Raw genomic sequence first — 18355 nt, forward strand, 5'->3', positions numbered from 1 at the left:
CAGGAGGATGATGCAGGAGAATCTCTGGAACCCAGGAGGCAGAGGTTGCAGTGAGCAGAGATGGTGCCTCTAAACTCCAGCCTGGTGACAGAGCGAGACTCCATCTCAATAATTTATAAATGAATAAATAAAAATTAAAAATTAAAAAAACTGAAAAGAGAATTCTCTAGTCTATCGCTTTGCTGTTTTTATTTAATGAATACAAACTTCCCATCATTTCTCCTTTTTTTCTTGCTATTAACATGGAAAGAAATACATAATTTTGTATTTGTATTTAGTAGCTCTTTAGCTACAGTTTCCCTTTCCCTTTCTCTTTCTTTCTTTCTTTTATTAGAACAAATTATGTAAGGACATTATATAAATTTTCTTAGATATTATGTTTTCCTCTTCTAAAATTTTCATTTGGTTCCTTTAAATTGTTTTCATTTCCCTTAAGATTTCTTACTCGTTCATTACAAGCACATTTTCCTTTATACCCATGCACATAAATATAACAACTGTTTTATCTAGTAATTTCAACATTTTTGTTATCTCATGTTGGTTCCTTTCTTACTGAATACAGGTCACATTGCCTTTCTTCTTAAATACAGATCACATTTTCTATGTGTCCTGAGTATTGTGGATGAGAATATTGCAGACATTCCAATTTTGGTTATATTCCACCAAAGTTTAATGAGTTTTGTTTGTAATAAAATACTGTTAAATTGGCTAAGTCAAACACAGCTTTCCTGAAGTGGTTAGCAGCAGAAATTTGTTTAACTCTTTCAGCCTTAGCTGGGCTGTTTGAAATCTGTCACATGCATCCATCATTCAGCAGTTGGCTAGAGATTTGAAAAGAGCTCATGTGCAGGATTTGAGGATGTTTCCCCCCAAGGATCCCCCCTTTTGTGGAATTCTTTCCAGTTGTAATAGCTCTCCTTTCCTATGGCTCTTCATGCCATTAAGCTGTAAGATTCTAAGTTTTTGTCATTTTGTATGCCACCAACTGGGGCCTGCTTTTAAGGTAAAAGCTACTAAAAACAAAAACAAAAACAAAAACAAAAACAAAAAACATGAGAAAGTCCTCTAGCTTCTGCTTGCTTTTGGTCATTCTCCAGTACCTCTAGATAATTTACCTATATTATTTATTTATTTTTCTCCTAAGATCATAATTGTTATTTCTTGGAGAAAAGGTCTGACAACATCTACTCTATCACTATCAGGGCAGAACTTTCTATATAAATTAACATATCTAATCTTCCAAACTTATCTCTAACACAGAATAGTTATTTCATTAAATTTCATGACACATATGTAGCTCTTTTAAGAATGGTGCTATTCAACATATCCTCATCTTGCTCCCCAATCAGATGAAGAGCAAAACTATTTGTTTTACTAATATTATGTTTAAAATATGTCTACAACATAGACATATTTGTATAGACATATTGTCCTACAACAATATTCAGTAACCAATATTTTCTGATCTCCATTCAACTTCCTCCACATAAAACAGTACACATACAATAATTTTACCTCAGGAATGTAATAAAAATGTGAGTGAGACTGTAACACATAATAAAAAATTACTTATGAAAAAGTCTATATGTTTTCATTTTAATATAAAATGTGTCTGGCTTATAATTCATGCTGTTTTATAATAACCGGCAGCATTTTGAAAAGGTTGGTGGCACATTATAACATGATGCATCCTATGACTGAAAGTGTCTTTGATTTGAGGGATTAATGTAAACATTTTTGCATATATGCATATAATGTTGAAGGAATCACAATAAACTTGTGGAAAATATACTATACCGTTTGGATTCACTTGGATTTAAAGTAATGTACTTCACTAATTATAAACCAAAATCAGCATACACTTGTTTCATTCATTTTACTGTAATCTTAAAATGTGCCAATAAAAATTGCACATAAAAGTGTAATTTTTTTCCTAGTTGCTTTCATGTATATGTGAGTGTGCCCCTGTATGTGTGGAATCAGACAATAAATTGAACATTAATCAGTAAAACACCATCTTCTACAAAAATCAAAGTGAGCGCTTTACTATAAAATCAAAGTCTCAGCATATTAAGAGTAAAAACCCAAGGGATAGATATGAATCTCATATGGATTATAGAATAAGGAATAAAAGTCACTGTGTTTCCTGTCTAACATAGAAACTTCAGCTGAAAAATATTAATGACAAAGCAAAAAGTTTATAAAATACATAAAAGAAATGTGTTTTCAAAACTAGGCATTTGGCCAACTGTGACTGTGTCTGATTCTATATATAGTTTTTAAAGCCAAGACTGTCAAAATGAACTTGAACTAAATTACTAGAATTATGAAATTCCCTATAGAGACAATAGCCATTAAATAGCTGTGGCCAAAAAGAGTTAAACATTCTCTATTTGATTTCCTTCTTTTGATCTTCTCACCATGATTTAAATGTTAGAAGAATGTTAATAGTGATGCCACAAATTCTAAGCAGTTATTTATTTACATAATTCCAGTTATGTGCTAGAGGAGGAGATTGAACCTACTGACATGCTTCTCTAGGAAGAGGTTGGTCTTAAAAACAGGGAAAGAAAAGAAATATATGAGATTAACAATAAGTAAAGAAACTTAGACTTAACTTTAACAACATCAATAAAAATTAGAGTTGGAATTGGAGACTGATTTGTAATAACTCTGTCTCCTGTGTGGCTGACCTCATGTTAATTAAACTCTTTGCTGCAATATCATGGTATTAGTGTTTTGGTTTTGTCTGTGCAGCAGGTAGGAAGAACCTGCCAGGCAATTATAAATTTGGGAGCTCACCCAGGATGTACCCTTGCAGATGCCTGTCTGAGGTTTGTCAGCCCACTACCGGTACACAGACCTGGAGGTGAAATCTGGTGGCCACTTGTTTCTCTTGAACTGACGGCCATCTGTGGTGCTGTCCCTGTTGGGGGCAGTATTACTGACCTATAGTGCCTGGACCTAATTGCAGTGGAGAAATAGTTCTTGGAAGACATCTTTAAACTGGTCTGGTGAGTATTTTAAGCGCAGCCAACAACTCCTTCCCTCTCTGAATTGGTTGACTCCTTCGAGGGTCATGGTTGGCACCTTCTGGGATCTTGACCCGCTCTCTCTAAATGATAAGAAGCGTCTTTGTTTGGGGAGATTTATCCCCAGTTAGATGGAAAATAGGAGGTTCCTTTGGAAAAATACTCTTAGAAAATTTTTGTTAGAAATCTTGGTTTTGAAGGCCTTTTTTCCTTTACCGTGTTGTGTGTGTTTGTAAGTGTGGAGAGGATTTCCCAAAAAAATTGCTGGCAGAAGTTCTGTAGGCTCTCCTAGTTTGATTGACTATTCACATTTGGTGAGCCCTGAAGGAAGCTCATTAGGCCTAACTCAGAGTGACTATCCACTCTTCTACCTTGACTGGAGACCATCCGTATAACTTTTGGTCAAAGATCATTCCATCCCATTTTGAGTGGATAAAATATAACAGGGCCAATGGAGGCAAGTTTGAGCTTTGTCATGTCAATACTTGGGTGCTGAGTGGGTAAATGGTGCACAGACAAAACCAATTTATTAAGACTATGATATTGCAGTAAAGAAATAATTTAATTTACATGAGGTCAGCCACATGGGAGACAGAGTTATTATAAATCAGTCTCCAACCCTAGCTGTAATCTTTATTGATGATATTGAAGATATTGAAGTTACTTGTTTCTTTACTTATTGTTAAGCAAAATTGTGGTCTCTTGCCTATGGTGCCATTAAATAGAAAAGGATAATTTTCTTTTGTAACACAGCTTGGCCCCTACTGCTATGGTGCTGTGAGCAGGATCATCAAAACCTGCTGTGTTCTTCCAGAAGCTGCAGACAAGGGAACCCAGAAACCTCTCAAGCTGGCAAAAGCATACTAATTCCTTAGCAGCCAGGCTACTAGTCTCTCTCTCTCTGCCTCAACCAGTGGACTGAATGGTAAAAATCACTGTTTTTCTTCTCTGCAAGATTCTGATTAATGGGAAAAATGATTTGTGAGACTAGTATTAGGCTCTAGTAAATCTGATGTACTTTGTGCTATAAATGTGTCTTGTTGTGTTATTCAGTCATAAAGAGGGCTACCATAGGATACAATGCAGGCCTGGGACTCCTATAACCTTGTGTTCAAACTGAACTTGCAGATTGGTCAATTAAAAATTTAGAGGCATTTCCCTTAGGCAAAAAATCCGGATATGGTTTCCCTCTTGTTTTAACCCTCAAGAGCTTGACTTTGTGATCATGTAGGGATTCTCTCCCTTGGTCTCTGCCATCCAGAGGGTGGGAATTTTCAGGTTCATATTAGGTTACTGGTCTGAAAGGACTAAGAGTCTGAGATGCATTAGCACATTGTTCATCCCAAATGTGTCAAGCCCTCTGATGAGTTTTGTTTTAAAATGTCCCATACTATGGGGTTTTTGTCCTCTTTTGCTATATTAAGCCCCTTTCTGGGGGTGAATATTTGGGGATCGTGAGGATGCCTCCTCTATCATCTCTCCAGGAATACCTCTTCTGTAGTTGATAAGAACCTGGAAAATTACCATCTGAGTTTGAAAAGGGCTTTTGGATTGAGTTGCTATTTGAACTAAGTATGCCATTGAAAGAAAAATATTTTTATAGCTATTTTATTCTCAACAATTGAATAAAAAGCTTTAAACTTAGAAAATGATATATAATAATGTCATGGATTCTCCTGGGCAGTGAAAATTCTTTGCAAGCTTGATGGCTGTTCTAGACTTCTTTTCAGAAAAGTTCTGGCAACTGCCCAATGCTGTAGCTTGGTAGCTAAGGCTTTGCCCTTTCATGATGGTGGCCTGGGTTCATATTTCTGGTTTAGGAAATTAGAATTTTTTGGCTTAATACCTGGGGGAATTTTGCTACTTATTGATTATTTTTTCCCTCCATGGACAGCTTCTGATGTTCAGTCTTGCACCATCTCATCTTACAGTGGTTCCCTCCTTTGGGGGATTCAGGATTTGATGTAAAAATTGGATCCTTGACTTTTGGGGATCTAGTCTGCCTTCCACCTATCCCTCCCCATTAGACCTAGAAACTGCATGCTTTCTTGGTGCTGCTCCTTATAAGATTCCACCCTTAAGCCAGTAATACAATTAAGAAACTTACATCTAAGAAAATCACCACACGTAAGGATGTCCTTCTTTTGGCCATTTGAACTTCTACTCATACCATTTTCTCAGAGTTTGAGTAAAACATTAATTATCTGTTTTGTTTCACTTAAGAATTACTCCTTTAGAAATGCAAATTTAGAATTGTCTAGCTGTTTAGGACAGGGAACAGGTAATCAAGAGACTAGTGGCCATTAAATTCTAGGAAACACCTGGGTACCTGTAGAGTTAGCAATGTCCCTTGGCTGTGCTGGGAAAAGTCAGACATGGTCAGGAGTTCTATTTTTGTCCTTGGTTCTGCAATCTAATAGATAAATTAAGTTACTTACTTGGCTGATGGGTGGAGCAAGATGGCAGATAGAAGGCTCCACTGATTGTCCCTCCATCAACGACACCAATTTAACAACTAACTATACAAATAAAGCACATTCATAAGAAACAAAAATCAGGTAGGCACTCACAGTACCTGGTTTTAACTTCATATTGCTGAAATAGGTACTGCAGAGGAAAGAAAAATAGTCTTGAATAGTCAATGCCACTCCTTTCCCATCCCCCTAGCAGGGGTGCTGTGGTGATGAGAGCATTTCTGTTCCCTGTGGAGAAGGAGAGCCAATAATTGTGATGCATTGAACTCAGTGTTGCCCTCATTATAGCAGAAAGCAAAACTAGACCAAACTCAGTCTCACCCATGAAGGGTGCATTTAAACCAGTCATAGCCAGAGAGGAATCACAAATCCCAGTGGTTGGAAATTAGGTTCCTATACTCCTTGCTACCACAGGCTAAAGTACTCTGGGGTGGCAAATTAATCTCAAACATAGATGAAGCCACTAGAACTGCAAAGCCTAAGCAAGTTTTTGTTCTGAGCTGTGCCTAGGTACTACATTGAGGGCCTTGGGTGAGATGCTGAGACTTGCTGGACTCAGGTGAGACCCAGCACATTCCCAGCTATGGTGGCTGTGGGGCAATACTCCTGATTAAAAATAATAGAGGAAAAAGTAAAGGGGCTTTGTCTTGCACCTTAAGAACCAGCTCAGCCACAGTGGGGGTAGAGCACCAAGGAGGCTCCTGGTGTCCCAAATTCTAGGACTTCACTCTTGGATAGAATTTCTGGACCTACCCAGGGCTGACCTACCCTCACCTGTAAGGTGAGCCCCAGGCTGGACAACATTTACTAGAAGCTGACTAAAGAGCCTGTGAGCCTTAAGGAAACCTTGGCAATAATCTGGTAATACCCCCCACTGGACTAAGGTGGCAGTGATTACAAGGTAAGGTACCTCTGCCTTTGGAATGGGGAGGGAAGAATGGGAAGGACTGTGCCTTGTCATTTGAGTGCCAGCTTAGCTGCAGTACAGTAGAACCCTAGGTGGACATCTAGTTTTTGATGCTAGGCCTTGGCTCCTGGACAGCATCCCTGGACCTACCCCAGGCCTGATGGAACTTGCCACCACCCAAAGGGAAGGAAATAGACCTGGGCTGGCTTTGCCAACCGCTGGTTGTAGCCCAGCCCTCTCCCAGGGCTTTGAGCAAAAACATAGGTGGTAGCCAGGAATTGGTTACAGCAGGCCTTGGATGAGATCCAGCACTGTACTGGATTCAGGTCTGACACAGCACAGTCCTAGGTGTCCTAGGGGTGGTGGACACAGGGGTGCTTGTGTCACTCCAACCCCAGTTTCAGGTGGCTCAGAACAGAGGTACAGATTTTGTTTGGGAAAAAGTAAGGGGAGAGTACAAGACTCTCTGCCTGGTAATTCAGAGACTTCTTCCAGAACTTGTCCAAGACTATCAAGGTGGTATCTCTACGAGACTGAAAGAACAACAGCACTAGTGGCCTTGGGGTCCCCCTAAAGCAGATAAAGCTTAGATTACAACATTCAAGTCTTTTCAAATATCTGGAAAGCCTTCCAAAGAAGGATGGGTACAAACAAGCCCAGACTGCAAGAACTACAATAAATAGCTAACTCTTCAATGCCCACACATAGACGAACATCTACAAGTATCAAGATGATCCAGAAAAACATGACCTCACCATGGGAACTAAATCAGGCACAAGGAACCAGTCCTGAAGAAATAGAGATACGTGACCTTTCATACACAGAATTCAAAATAGCTTTGTTAAGCAAACTAAAAGAAATTCAAGATAACACAGAGAATGAATTCAGAAATCTATCAGATAAATTTGACAGAGATTAAAATAATTAAAAATAATTAAGCAGAAATTCTGGAGTTGAAAAATGCAATTGTCATACTGAAGAATGCATCAGAGACTTTTAATAGCAGAATTGATCAAGCAGAAGAAAAAAATAGTGATCTTGAAGACAGGCTATTTGAAAATATAGTCAGAGGAAACAAAAGAAAAAATATAAAACAATAATACATTTCTACAGGAGCTAGAGAATAGACTCAAAAGAGCAAATCTAAGAGTTATTGGCTTTAAAGAGGAGATAGAAAAAGAGATAGGAGTAGAAAGATTAAAGAAATAATATCAGAGAACTTCACGAACCTAGAGAAAGATATCAATATCCAAGTACAAGAAGGTTATAAAACACCAACAAGTTTATCCTAAAGAAGACTACATCAAGGCATCTAATAATAAAACTCCCCAAAGGACAATAAAAAAAAAGAATTCTTAAAGCAACAGAAGAAAATAAACAAATAACATAAAACAGAGTTCCAATATGTCTGGTAGCACACTTTTCAGTGGAAAACTTATAGGCCAGGAGAGTGTAGCATGACATATTTAAAGTGCTGAAGGGGGAAAAAAATCCCTTTTACCATAGAAGAGTATATCTGGTTAAATAAACTTCAAACATGAAGGAGGAAAAAAAGACCTTCCAAGATAAAGAAAAGCTGAGGAATTTAACCAACACCAGACATGTCTTTCAAGAAATGCTAAAAGGAGTACTTAAATCAGAAAGAAAACAATGTTAATGGGCAATAAGAACTCATCGAAGGTACAAAACTCACTGGTAATAATAAGTACACAAAAATACATAGAATATTATAACACTATAACTGTGGTGTGAAAACTATTCTTAAATGGAAAGACAAAATGATGAACTAATCAAAAATAACAACTACAACAACTTTTCAAGACATATTCAGTACAACAAGGTATAAATATTAACAACAAGAAGTTAAAAAGCAAGGGAATGAAGTTATGGCATAGAGTCATTATTAGTTTTTCTTGTTCCTTGTTTGTGTCTTTGTTTATGCAAACAGTGTTATGTTGTTATCAGCTTAAAATAATGACTTATAAAATAGTATTGCCACATGGTAACCTCAAATCAAAGAAGATACAAAAGATACCTAAAAACAAAAGGAAGAAAATAAGTCAATCACTTCACTAAAAGACAGAAAAGAAAAAAAAAGAGAGAGAGAGAGAAAAAAAAAGACCACAAAAAAACCAGAAAACAAATAACACAATGGCAGGAGTAAGTCCTCACTTAGCAACAATAACATTGATTATAAATGAACTAAAGCTTCCAACAGAAAGACATATAGTGGCTGAATGGATGAAAAAACCAAAACCCTTTGATCTGTTGCCTACACAAAAGACACTTTACCTATAATGGCACACATAGAGTGAAAATAAAGGTATGAAAAAAGATATTCTATGCCAATGGAAACCAAAAAAGAGCAAGAGTAGCTATACTTATGTCAAACAAAATAGATTTTAAGACAAAAACTGTAAGAAGAAACAAACAAGTAAGGTCTGATAAAGCTAGAATATATAAAAAATTTAAAATATATATGCTCCAATAGTCTTTAACATCTAACTTTCAGCATTGAAAAAATCTTCCTGACACAAAATCAACAAAGAAATATTGGACTTAATCTGCATTATAGAACAAACAGATCTAACAGATATTTACAGAATATTCTATCCAGTACTTGCAGAATACACGTTTTCTTCAGCACATGGATTATTCTCACAGAATGGAAGAAAATATTTGCAAACTACCCATCGAACAAGGGGTTAATTACCAAAATACATAAGGAGCTGAAACAGCTCTGTAAGAAAAAAAATCTAATAATCCAACTAAAAATTGGCAAATATTTGAATAGACATTTCTGAAAAGAAGATATACAAATGGCAAACAGAAATATGATTAGGTGTTTAACATCATTTATCATCAGAGAAATAAATGCAACTCAAAACTACAATGAGATATCATCTCACCATGGTTAAAATAGCTTATACCCCAAAGACAGGCAATAACAAATACTGGTGAGGATGTGTAGGAAAGGGAACCCTTGTACACTCTTGTTGGGAATGTAAATTAGTGTAACACCATGCAGAATAGTTTGAGGGATCCTCAAAAAGCTAAAAATATAGCTACCATACATACCAACAATTCCACAGCTAGGTATATACCCAAAAGAAAATCAATTTATTGAAGAAATGTTTGCACTCCTGTGTTTGTTGTAGCTCTGTTCACACTAGCCAAGATTTGGAAGCAACCTAACATTCCATCAATAGATGAATGGATAAAGAAAATATGGTATTTATACACAATGGAGCACTACTGAGACATGAAAAAAAATGAGTTCCTGCCATTTGCAATAACATGAATGGAACTGGATGTCATTATGTTAAGCAAAATAAGCCAGGCACAGAGAGACAACGTTCACATGTTCTCACTTATTTGTGGGATCTAAAAACCAAAACAATTGAACTCATTAATATAGATAATAGAAGGATGGTTATCAGAGTTTGGGAGGGGTAGTGGGGAAATGACGGGGAGCTGCGGATAGTTAATGGAAACAAAATATAGTTACAATGAATGAATGAGACCTGGTATTTGATAGCACAACATGGTGACTGTAATTAGTTATAATGTGTTAATTTTGAAATAATTAAAAGAGTATAATTGGATTGTTTTTAACAGAAAGGATAAATTCTTGAGGGGATAGATACTCTGTCTTCCATGATATGATTATTACACATTGTATACCTATATCAAAACATCTCATGTACTCCATAGAATATGCACTTAAAAAAATAAAGAAATTGCTTATCAGTTTTTTCACTAAAAATAAAAGTTTGTTAAGAGTTAACATTGTAACATAAGTAATTTGGACTGCTGAAGAAACAGTTTTACATTCGAGGCATATAAGGAAAGTAGAATGTGTTCTTGGCGAAAGGTTATAAGACATGGAAATATGCTTTTTGTTAAAGGAAAAGTAGTTTTGTATATATTAGAGGGGTTTTATTGTATTGTACTGTTAAAAGAATGATAAAACAAAACTGAATATTCATGCAAGTTGTAAAACATTCATAAGAGATTGATTTATAAAGGATTTTCTATGTGTGTAAGCAAATTTGCCCAAATTTAAATGGGATTATTCAATATGCAATATTCAAAATTATTCAATTTGTTTTTCAATGAATTATACATTAAAGCACATTGACGCAGGGCTAGCATCAGTTATTTCAGAATAACAAGATTTTCTTGTAGCATTGATTTGCTCTATAATAGAAAATTACAAAAGTTATAAGAGGTTTATGAATATCTCACTTTATGGTCAAACTGATTAAAACTAGATTTATTTACAAAATCTTCTTAAAAGTAGCTTTAGCATGAATGATACACTAATACAAAGGTCAAATTTGGTTTTCTCTTTTAAACTTTTTTTTTAGAATATTGAGATATAATGAAAGTTTGTTTAAGCGCCTTTTGATTAAACTGCAGGAAAAAGTGAAAAAATAGGGAAGATGGAAGAAACAGATTCAGTTGGCCTCATCCCATCTTTACTGGGTCTTGTTGTTTGGAAAGCTGAGTCTCCCTTCTAACAACAAGAAAGGTTTTTTCATATTTGAAATCTTTGAGCTATAACTTCTGCTAAATGAATAATTTGTGATCCTATTCTGTGATATCCAGTGTTTTAAATCTTTGATATTTGACAAAGCTTTCAAAATCGAAATTTCAAGTTATAAACTAAGTCCTTTTGATCTCATTTACCTTTTAGATACTAAGTTCCCAAGAGCCTGAAAGAGACATTTGGCTTATTTGTTATGTTACAGTCACAAGGAAGCATTGTCAGGTATAAAATGGTGTTTGTCTTTCTTTGGGCTGTCTTTGTATAAATGGGTCCTTGGTGTGTATTTCAGAATTGTGTGAGACTTCTATAATTCTGATATGACAGTGTATACTATTAGTAAAAATTGATTGTTATGTTAAATTCTTGTGTGCCACACAAATGACCCAATTTCTCTGTCAATTTTGTCTTTAACTGTGGTTATTCTAAGACTTTTGTCATCCACAATTGTTATACTTTGATTCTTTTCAAAAGGTGCTTTTAAAATCAACTATAAGACTCTGTCGGGTGCTGTTAAATGCAGGTTCCCCCAAAATTTGGAAATAATGTCATTGAAATAAAGAAAAAAACTTTCCAGGACTCTCATGGAGAGCCCAATATAAAGTAAAACAGAAGTTAATTGCATGAACTGACTTAATAGAAGACTACGATAATCTTGTTATGATGTTTTGCTTAAAACATTGCTAATTATTTTTGTTTTGTATTTCAGAGTCAAGAAAACATATTTTCTTTTGAGCCATTTACAACATTTAATAGTTGAGTAAAGTATACTACCGTGAGAAAAAATAGAACATATCTATATGTCTCTACATGATTTCTCCAGAATTTTGAAAAAATTGTGAGTATTCTTAGTTTATGGCAATATAGTTATTTGCATAAGTTCAATAAGAATCTGTTTTCTTTTGTAACACAACAGAATTGGAGACACTGGTTATTTTACCAAGACTTTGAATCAAATGGCATGTTTTCAGACTGCTTTAAGAAATTGAAGTTGACCTATAGAGCTGATAAAAGCCTTTTGGAAAAACTGTCCTCATATCTTGTTCTGTACAGAGTTTCTAACCCTGTAAAATATCTCACTTTCTGGCAGGCCCAGGAACCCCAAGTTATTTTTGGACTTCAAGAAGAGAGAAATTCACTCAATTTATACAGGTATCTGCAGGCACAAATAAATCCTTGGCTGGATTCAAGAGGCTTTTAAAAGACCTAATTTGAGATTCCTTATGAAAAACTTCCAGCAAAGCCATAAAAAAAAAAAAAAAAAAAAAGCCTATCTGGCTACAAATTAGGTCAACTGTGATAAGACTAAAGCTTATTTTGCAAATAAATTGGTCCTACTCTGATGTGTCTTTGGCAGAAATGTAGAGAGAAAAATTATGTTTCACAAAAACTATAGTACACTTATTAGATTGCAGCCCTGTTCATTGTTTTTGAGTCTCTCTGATGACCCAACATTTGATAGGTTCTCGGGGTTATTCACATAGATCTCTCAAGGCTTCGAATTAGCTCTCTATGGACTCCTGAAGCTAGGGCTTTCACTCCTGTGATAGCGCTTACTAAAACTGTGGATAAGAGTGCCTGAAGCAGCTACATTGCCTGGGTATATACTCTGGGGTTCGTTGTCTCACGCCAGGAAAATTTAGGACATGGACACACAGTAGGAGCTTAGGAATGGAGGTTTAGTAGGCAGAAGAGAAGAGGAAGAGAAACAGCTTTCTTTATATATAGAGAGAGGGGTCTCTGAGCAGAAAGGACCAGCTGGCAGTGGATGTGCTGGAATTTATAGTCCAGTTTGAGGAGGTAGTGTCTGATTTATGTAGGGCTCACAGATTGGTTTGATCAGATATGACACTTACATCTTTCGTGAAGAAGGCTGGTGGCCTCACCCTAATCTTATTATGCAAATGAATTCTCCTTGGCTGGCACCATCTTGTCTGTTCCTTACTGTACATGTGGCTGGCAGAGAAGGGAAAATGGAGCCACCATCTTGAACATGTCTGGTCCCTAGCTCCTGCTGGCATTCACCTGTGCAAGCTCCCAGCTTGCTTGTCTGTGTCTGAAGTTTGACTTTACAGGATGCTCTTTGTTAGAAAATAATTTGGGGCTGCTTTTCATCAAAAAGAAAAGCCTTACCAAGGACTCCTGTACCCCCACTGTCTGCCTAAGTGATTTCTTCTTAATTCCTGTATCAGTACTAATGTTTTTGCTATGTGGATGTCGAAATTTAAAGCAGACACCAGTGAATATATACAGACAACTGCAAGATGATTTCACTCCTTTTACCCTAAGAGCAACCCTTACCACAACTATGCATCCTGTCAGCAAGAAGAAGTTAGAGTAGTTGCCAGTCTTTCTCATCTCCATGGCTCACACCTCGGAACTGAGTCAATCTGAAGCCCAAGTTGGGTGCTTAAATAACCTTTACAGAAATTTTAACACAGAGAAATCTAAAGTAACTACGTCTTGCTTCTAGTTTCAAAGGTTGGCTGTCTTCACTCGTTCCTTGGCATAAGGCAAAACTAACCATGCAGAAATTTAGTTTATAATTTAGCTTTGAAGCAAAGGTGATAATAGGCCTTCTTGAAACTGATCCCTTCCTTGTTCAGTGACTGAAATCACCTTTGTAAAACTAATGAAAGGCCACAAGATTAGGATCATGGGCGGGTCCTGAATTCTGCTAAAATGTAGGCGTCCTTTGCTGCTTTGAAGTCATGTGTCCAGAGATCATAAGATTTATGACATCCCTAATTGCTCCTACAGATAGCATCACTATTGTAGAGCCTAAGATTGGTCTTTGGAGATGTTTTTGACTACTTTTGAATTCTCAGGACTGACTGACCCCACCCAGACTCATGACTCCTGGCTCAACTGGTTCTGTGGTCTCCCTCCCTAAAGGCAGCCTCAGTGTATGAAGACCATTTTCCCTGCCCCTATGATTGCATCCCCAACCAATCAGCAGCACCCATCTCCTAGTACGCTACCCACTAAACTATGCTTCAAAAACCCAAAACTTCAAGCCTTTAGGGAGATTGATTTGAGTAATAAATTTATCTCTTGTATGGCTAATCTTGTGTTAAACTCTTTCTTCAATACACTAATAATAATAAAAAAATGGTGTTGGAGATCAGGAAATAACTACATTGCAAGGTAATTTATTGTAAATTATAGCTTGGAGTATTATGTTTTAGCAGACTATTTCCTCTCAAAAGAGACTGGAATCCTTTCCTACAAGTAGAATCTGAGAGACATTTTTCTTAACTAGAGATAGATTTATGCCTAAGTATTTTATGCGTTTGAAATGTTCTTGTTTTCTAACATGCTTTTATTAAGATAAATAACCATATTAGTCAAAAATTTTAGATATATTACTACTTACCTGGTTTGATTTGCACAGACTTTTTTGGTAATAATTTCTCTTAAACTAGGTTGTGAGTACCTAGAGCTGAGGCATTGTGATGTGTTCATCTATATAATTCAGGAACTGTGCACTTAAAATTGAATTAGCCCCAACTGGAACTGAATTAGCCCCACATGTAAGTCCTCAAGTATCCTAGATTCATTATTACTTTGAATGAGGGAGCACTTCAGAAGACTTAGCCTGACAAGTGATCATCAGATAACGAGTCATCAAGTGTGCTATGCTGGCATTAATCGAGCTTCACAAATTGAATTTATTTCTATTTCCTGCTTGTTATTGCTAGAAATGGAATTCTTGTGGGAAAAAATTCATCTATTGATCTCCCTATCATTTCTACTTTGCTACACTTGGCTCATTTCAGCAAAAGTCCCAGTCCTTTTATTCAATAAACAAATATTTATGGCTACATTTTATGTTCCAGGCACTGTTCTAAGTGCTTGGCATATGTCATTGAAGGAAACACTGATCGCTTTCCTAATACAATTCACATTTAAGTAGGGTTGGGGAGGCAGATACAGAAAACGCATGAAATGGATAATATGCCAAAAGAAGAAAAGTGGTAAAGGAAAAAACAGAACAGGGTAAGGAATATCTGGAGTAAGAAAAGTAGGAGTGTTTCACATTGCATTTTATGGAGGTGGTCATTGAGATGGTGATGTCTGAGCAAATAAAAGAATTAATCTCAGAAAAAATCCTTTTATGTACAGAGCAGTCAGTGCAAAGGCTCTAAGTTGGAGGTACATGTAGTATTTATAAATGATGAGTCCAAGAGCTGGAGCAGTCAAAGTAAGAGGGAGAGCAAAGTAAGAGGGAGAGACAAGGTTACAAAACTAGTAAAGGGGTCAATTCAAGCACTGTCTGGTCATTATAAAGACTTATTTTTGCTCTGAATAAAAATGGGAGCCAAGGCAGGGTTCTGTTCAAATCTCCTATGTTTTTATAGCCTTTATCTTTATTTCCTCTATTAATAATAGGAGTACATCAAAATATCCCATTATAGTAGTAGATTTGTCTATTTCCCTGTAGTCTTAAAAGTTTTGCTTTAAATGTTTTATTAGGTGAATATAAGTTAAGAACTGTCATAAATCCATGGTGAATTTGATGTTTTAAAATCATTATATAGAGGCTACTACTAATAAAGCTGTTTTTGTACAAAAAATTATTTTGTCTGAGAGTAATATATAACTATTACAATGCCTTTTGGCTATTATTTGTCTGATGGATTTCTTTTTTTCATTTTATTACTTTCTACTTTTCTTTAGCTTATGGATATATTTTAGAGAAGAAGCATACAGCTTGATGATGGTTTTGCTTGTTTCCTTGTTTTCTTTTTATCTTTTCCAATTCTATCTGATATTCTTTACATTTTCACTGACCCATATTTTATTATTTTTACATTTTTAGTTATTGTGCTTTCTACATCTTCTGTATTTTTATGTTCTTTCATTATTTTTTGTCTTATTTTATGAATTGATTACTTGCATTGTTTTTAGATTTATTTTATTGATTATATATGTTAATTTGAGAAGTATAAACATAATTTCACTTTATAAAGCATATGCTTTGAAAATTTACTGTGCACATTTAACTGGATATTAAATTAAATAATACCTTAGTTGTTACTGGATAAACATAAGAATCTTAGGAAATTCCAGTTTGATTATTTTAAATGCTAATATTGTCCAGTAGTTTATCTTCTTTTTAAAAAGAGTAAAACCAAATAAAAACATCATTATTATAAGGATTACTTTTATATATTATCTATTAAGTTGTATTTATTTCCCCAGAGGGAGTGTTACAGCACTCTTTTAGCTCTGCCATCTGCAGACAGTTTAAGTGTTAACAGCTCAGTGGGCCCTCTGTCATTTTGCATAAAGTGGTTGCTTTCCATCAGTGTGGGCAAAGGGGAAGTGTGATAGCCTTTTGTATTCATACTCGTGGCACCTGAGCTCTTGTATGGCTTCCAGGAGAAATGGTGTCCCACAAGCAAATTGAAGGATGGCAAATGCAGGCAATTTTATTGCTGATGTAGGTGGCTCTCAGTGGGAAGGGGAGCTGAAAAGGGGATAGTTCAGGAAGGTAATTTTGCCCTGCAGTCCGGTCAAGGGACCCACTACGTTCCACTCCTCACTGGACGAATTTTATATATGTGTGTGTGTGTGTGTGTGTGTGTGTGTGTGTGTGTACATATATAATTATAATTTTATTTATATAATTATATAATATAGAATTATATTACATATATATTTCTTTTTGCATTTTTTTCTTAGCATTTCAGTTGAAAGTTTTTCTTGATTTGGCTTCACGTTCACTTCAGCTGTGTCACATTTACAGACGAATCATTTGAAGTCATACATCATTTCTATTTTTGTGTTTCGTACTTCTAGGATTTCCTTCTGATTATTTTATAGTGTTCATCTCTCTGCTTACATCATCCATCTGTACTTTTATTGTGTCTCTTCATTTCATTAGAACCTATAATATATTATAACCTATAATTTATTAATCATAGTTATTTTAAATTCTCTGCCTGATAATTCCTACATCTGTGTCACATTTGAGTCTGGTTCTGATGATTGCATTTTCTCTTCAGAGAGTGTTATATTTCATAGCTTTTAGCATGCCTTCTCAATATATGGTGACAGCTGGACATGATATATTGGGTAATAAGAACTGAGGTAAATAGGCTCTTACTGTGAGGATTTATGCTAATATGCCTGGGAGCTGTGAAGTTTTTAAGGTTTGTTGTAGATGTAGGTGCCAGAAGCTTCCATGTCTTTTAGTATCCTTGATTTCTCTCCTCTCTTGACCTTGGGCTTCTGGAAGTACTCCTTCTTAGATAGTGTCTGTGTCTTACACCTCTTTACCTGTTATCTTTATTACTGCACCACAACCCTGGTGTTAAGTTGTAAGAGAAGGTAAATGTTGTACAGTCATACAACTAAACTTTATTCTTTAAATGGGTTTGTGTCTCAGGACTGTGACATCATATTTTAAAATGTTATCATACTTAAAACAAATATGATAGCCCCTCCCCAAGACTACCTATCTATCTATCTATCTAGATAGAAATATATATATAGATAGAAATATATTTCTTTTTGCATTTTTTTCTTTTGGCATTTCAGTTGAAAATTTTTCTTGATCTGGCTTCCAGTTCACTTCAGCTGTGTCAAATTTAGAGATTAATCCTTTGAAGACATATTTTATTTCTATTATTATGTTTTGTACTTCTAGAATTTCCTTCTGATTCTTTTATAGTTGTCATCTCTCTCCTTATATCACCCATGTGTACTTTCACTTTGTCTCTTCATTTCATTAGAACCTATATTAACCATAGTTATTTTAAATTCCCTGCCCGATAATTCCCCCTTATTCCCCATCCTCTTCCTGTTTACAGCATTTTGTTTGTAACTTTAGTCCCTTAAACATTATTTATCATACTCCCCCTCCCTTAGATGAGATAAAAAAGGTGGAGGGAACTACAGTTCCGAGGGATTACCTATCCCCAGCTGTTATAAAGGTTCAGAATTATCCATTGGCAAAGTATTTTCTCCTAAAGAATAGACATTTTTACAGAGAAGGCTCTGGATATGCCTATTCCCCAATGCACTGAGCATCTTCATTCCTACCTCCACACAAGGAAGAGAGAATTCTTCAGAGATCCTAACAAAGAAAACCTGGTGAGGTTTCTAGAGGAAAGGATGAAAATGTGGGAGGTCTTCCTAAGACTACAGCCTCCAAGAGTTTTCTCATTTTTGTGCTAGCTCACACTCAACCTCAAGTAAATCAAAATTAGTATTTAAATGTTCCCAGCAGTTATGGCTTCAATGGCTGTTCTAAATAAAGTAGACCTTAGTTGCTCTATCTCCCTGGATGAATTTGTTTCTCCAGCTTTTCGAGTATTAGTTTGTCCTTAAAGTTGATTTTTTGATGGACCCAAAAAAAGTAACTGATTCTAAGTTTTTCCAACTA

This window comes from Homo sapiens, chromosome 7 (assembly GCF_000001405.40).
Source record: "Homo sapiens chromosome 7, GRCh38.p14 Primary Assembly".
NCBI classification, from domain to species: Eukaryota; Metazoa; Chordata; class Mammalia; order Primates; family Hominidae; genus Homo; species Homo sapiens.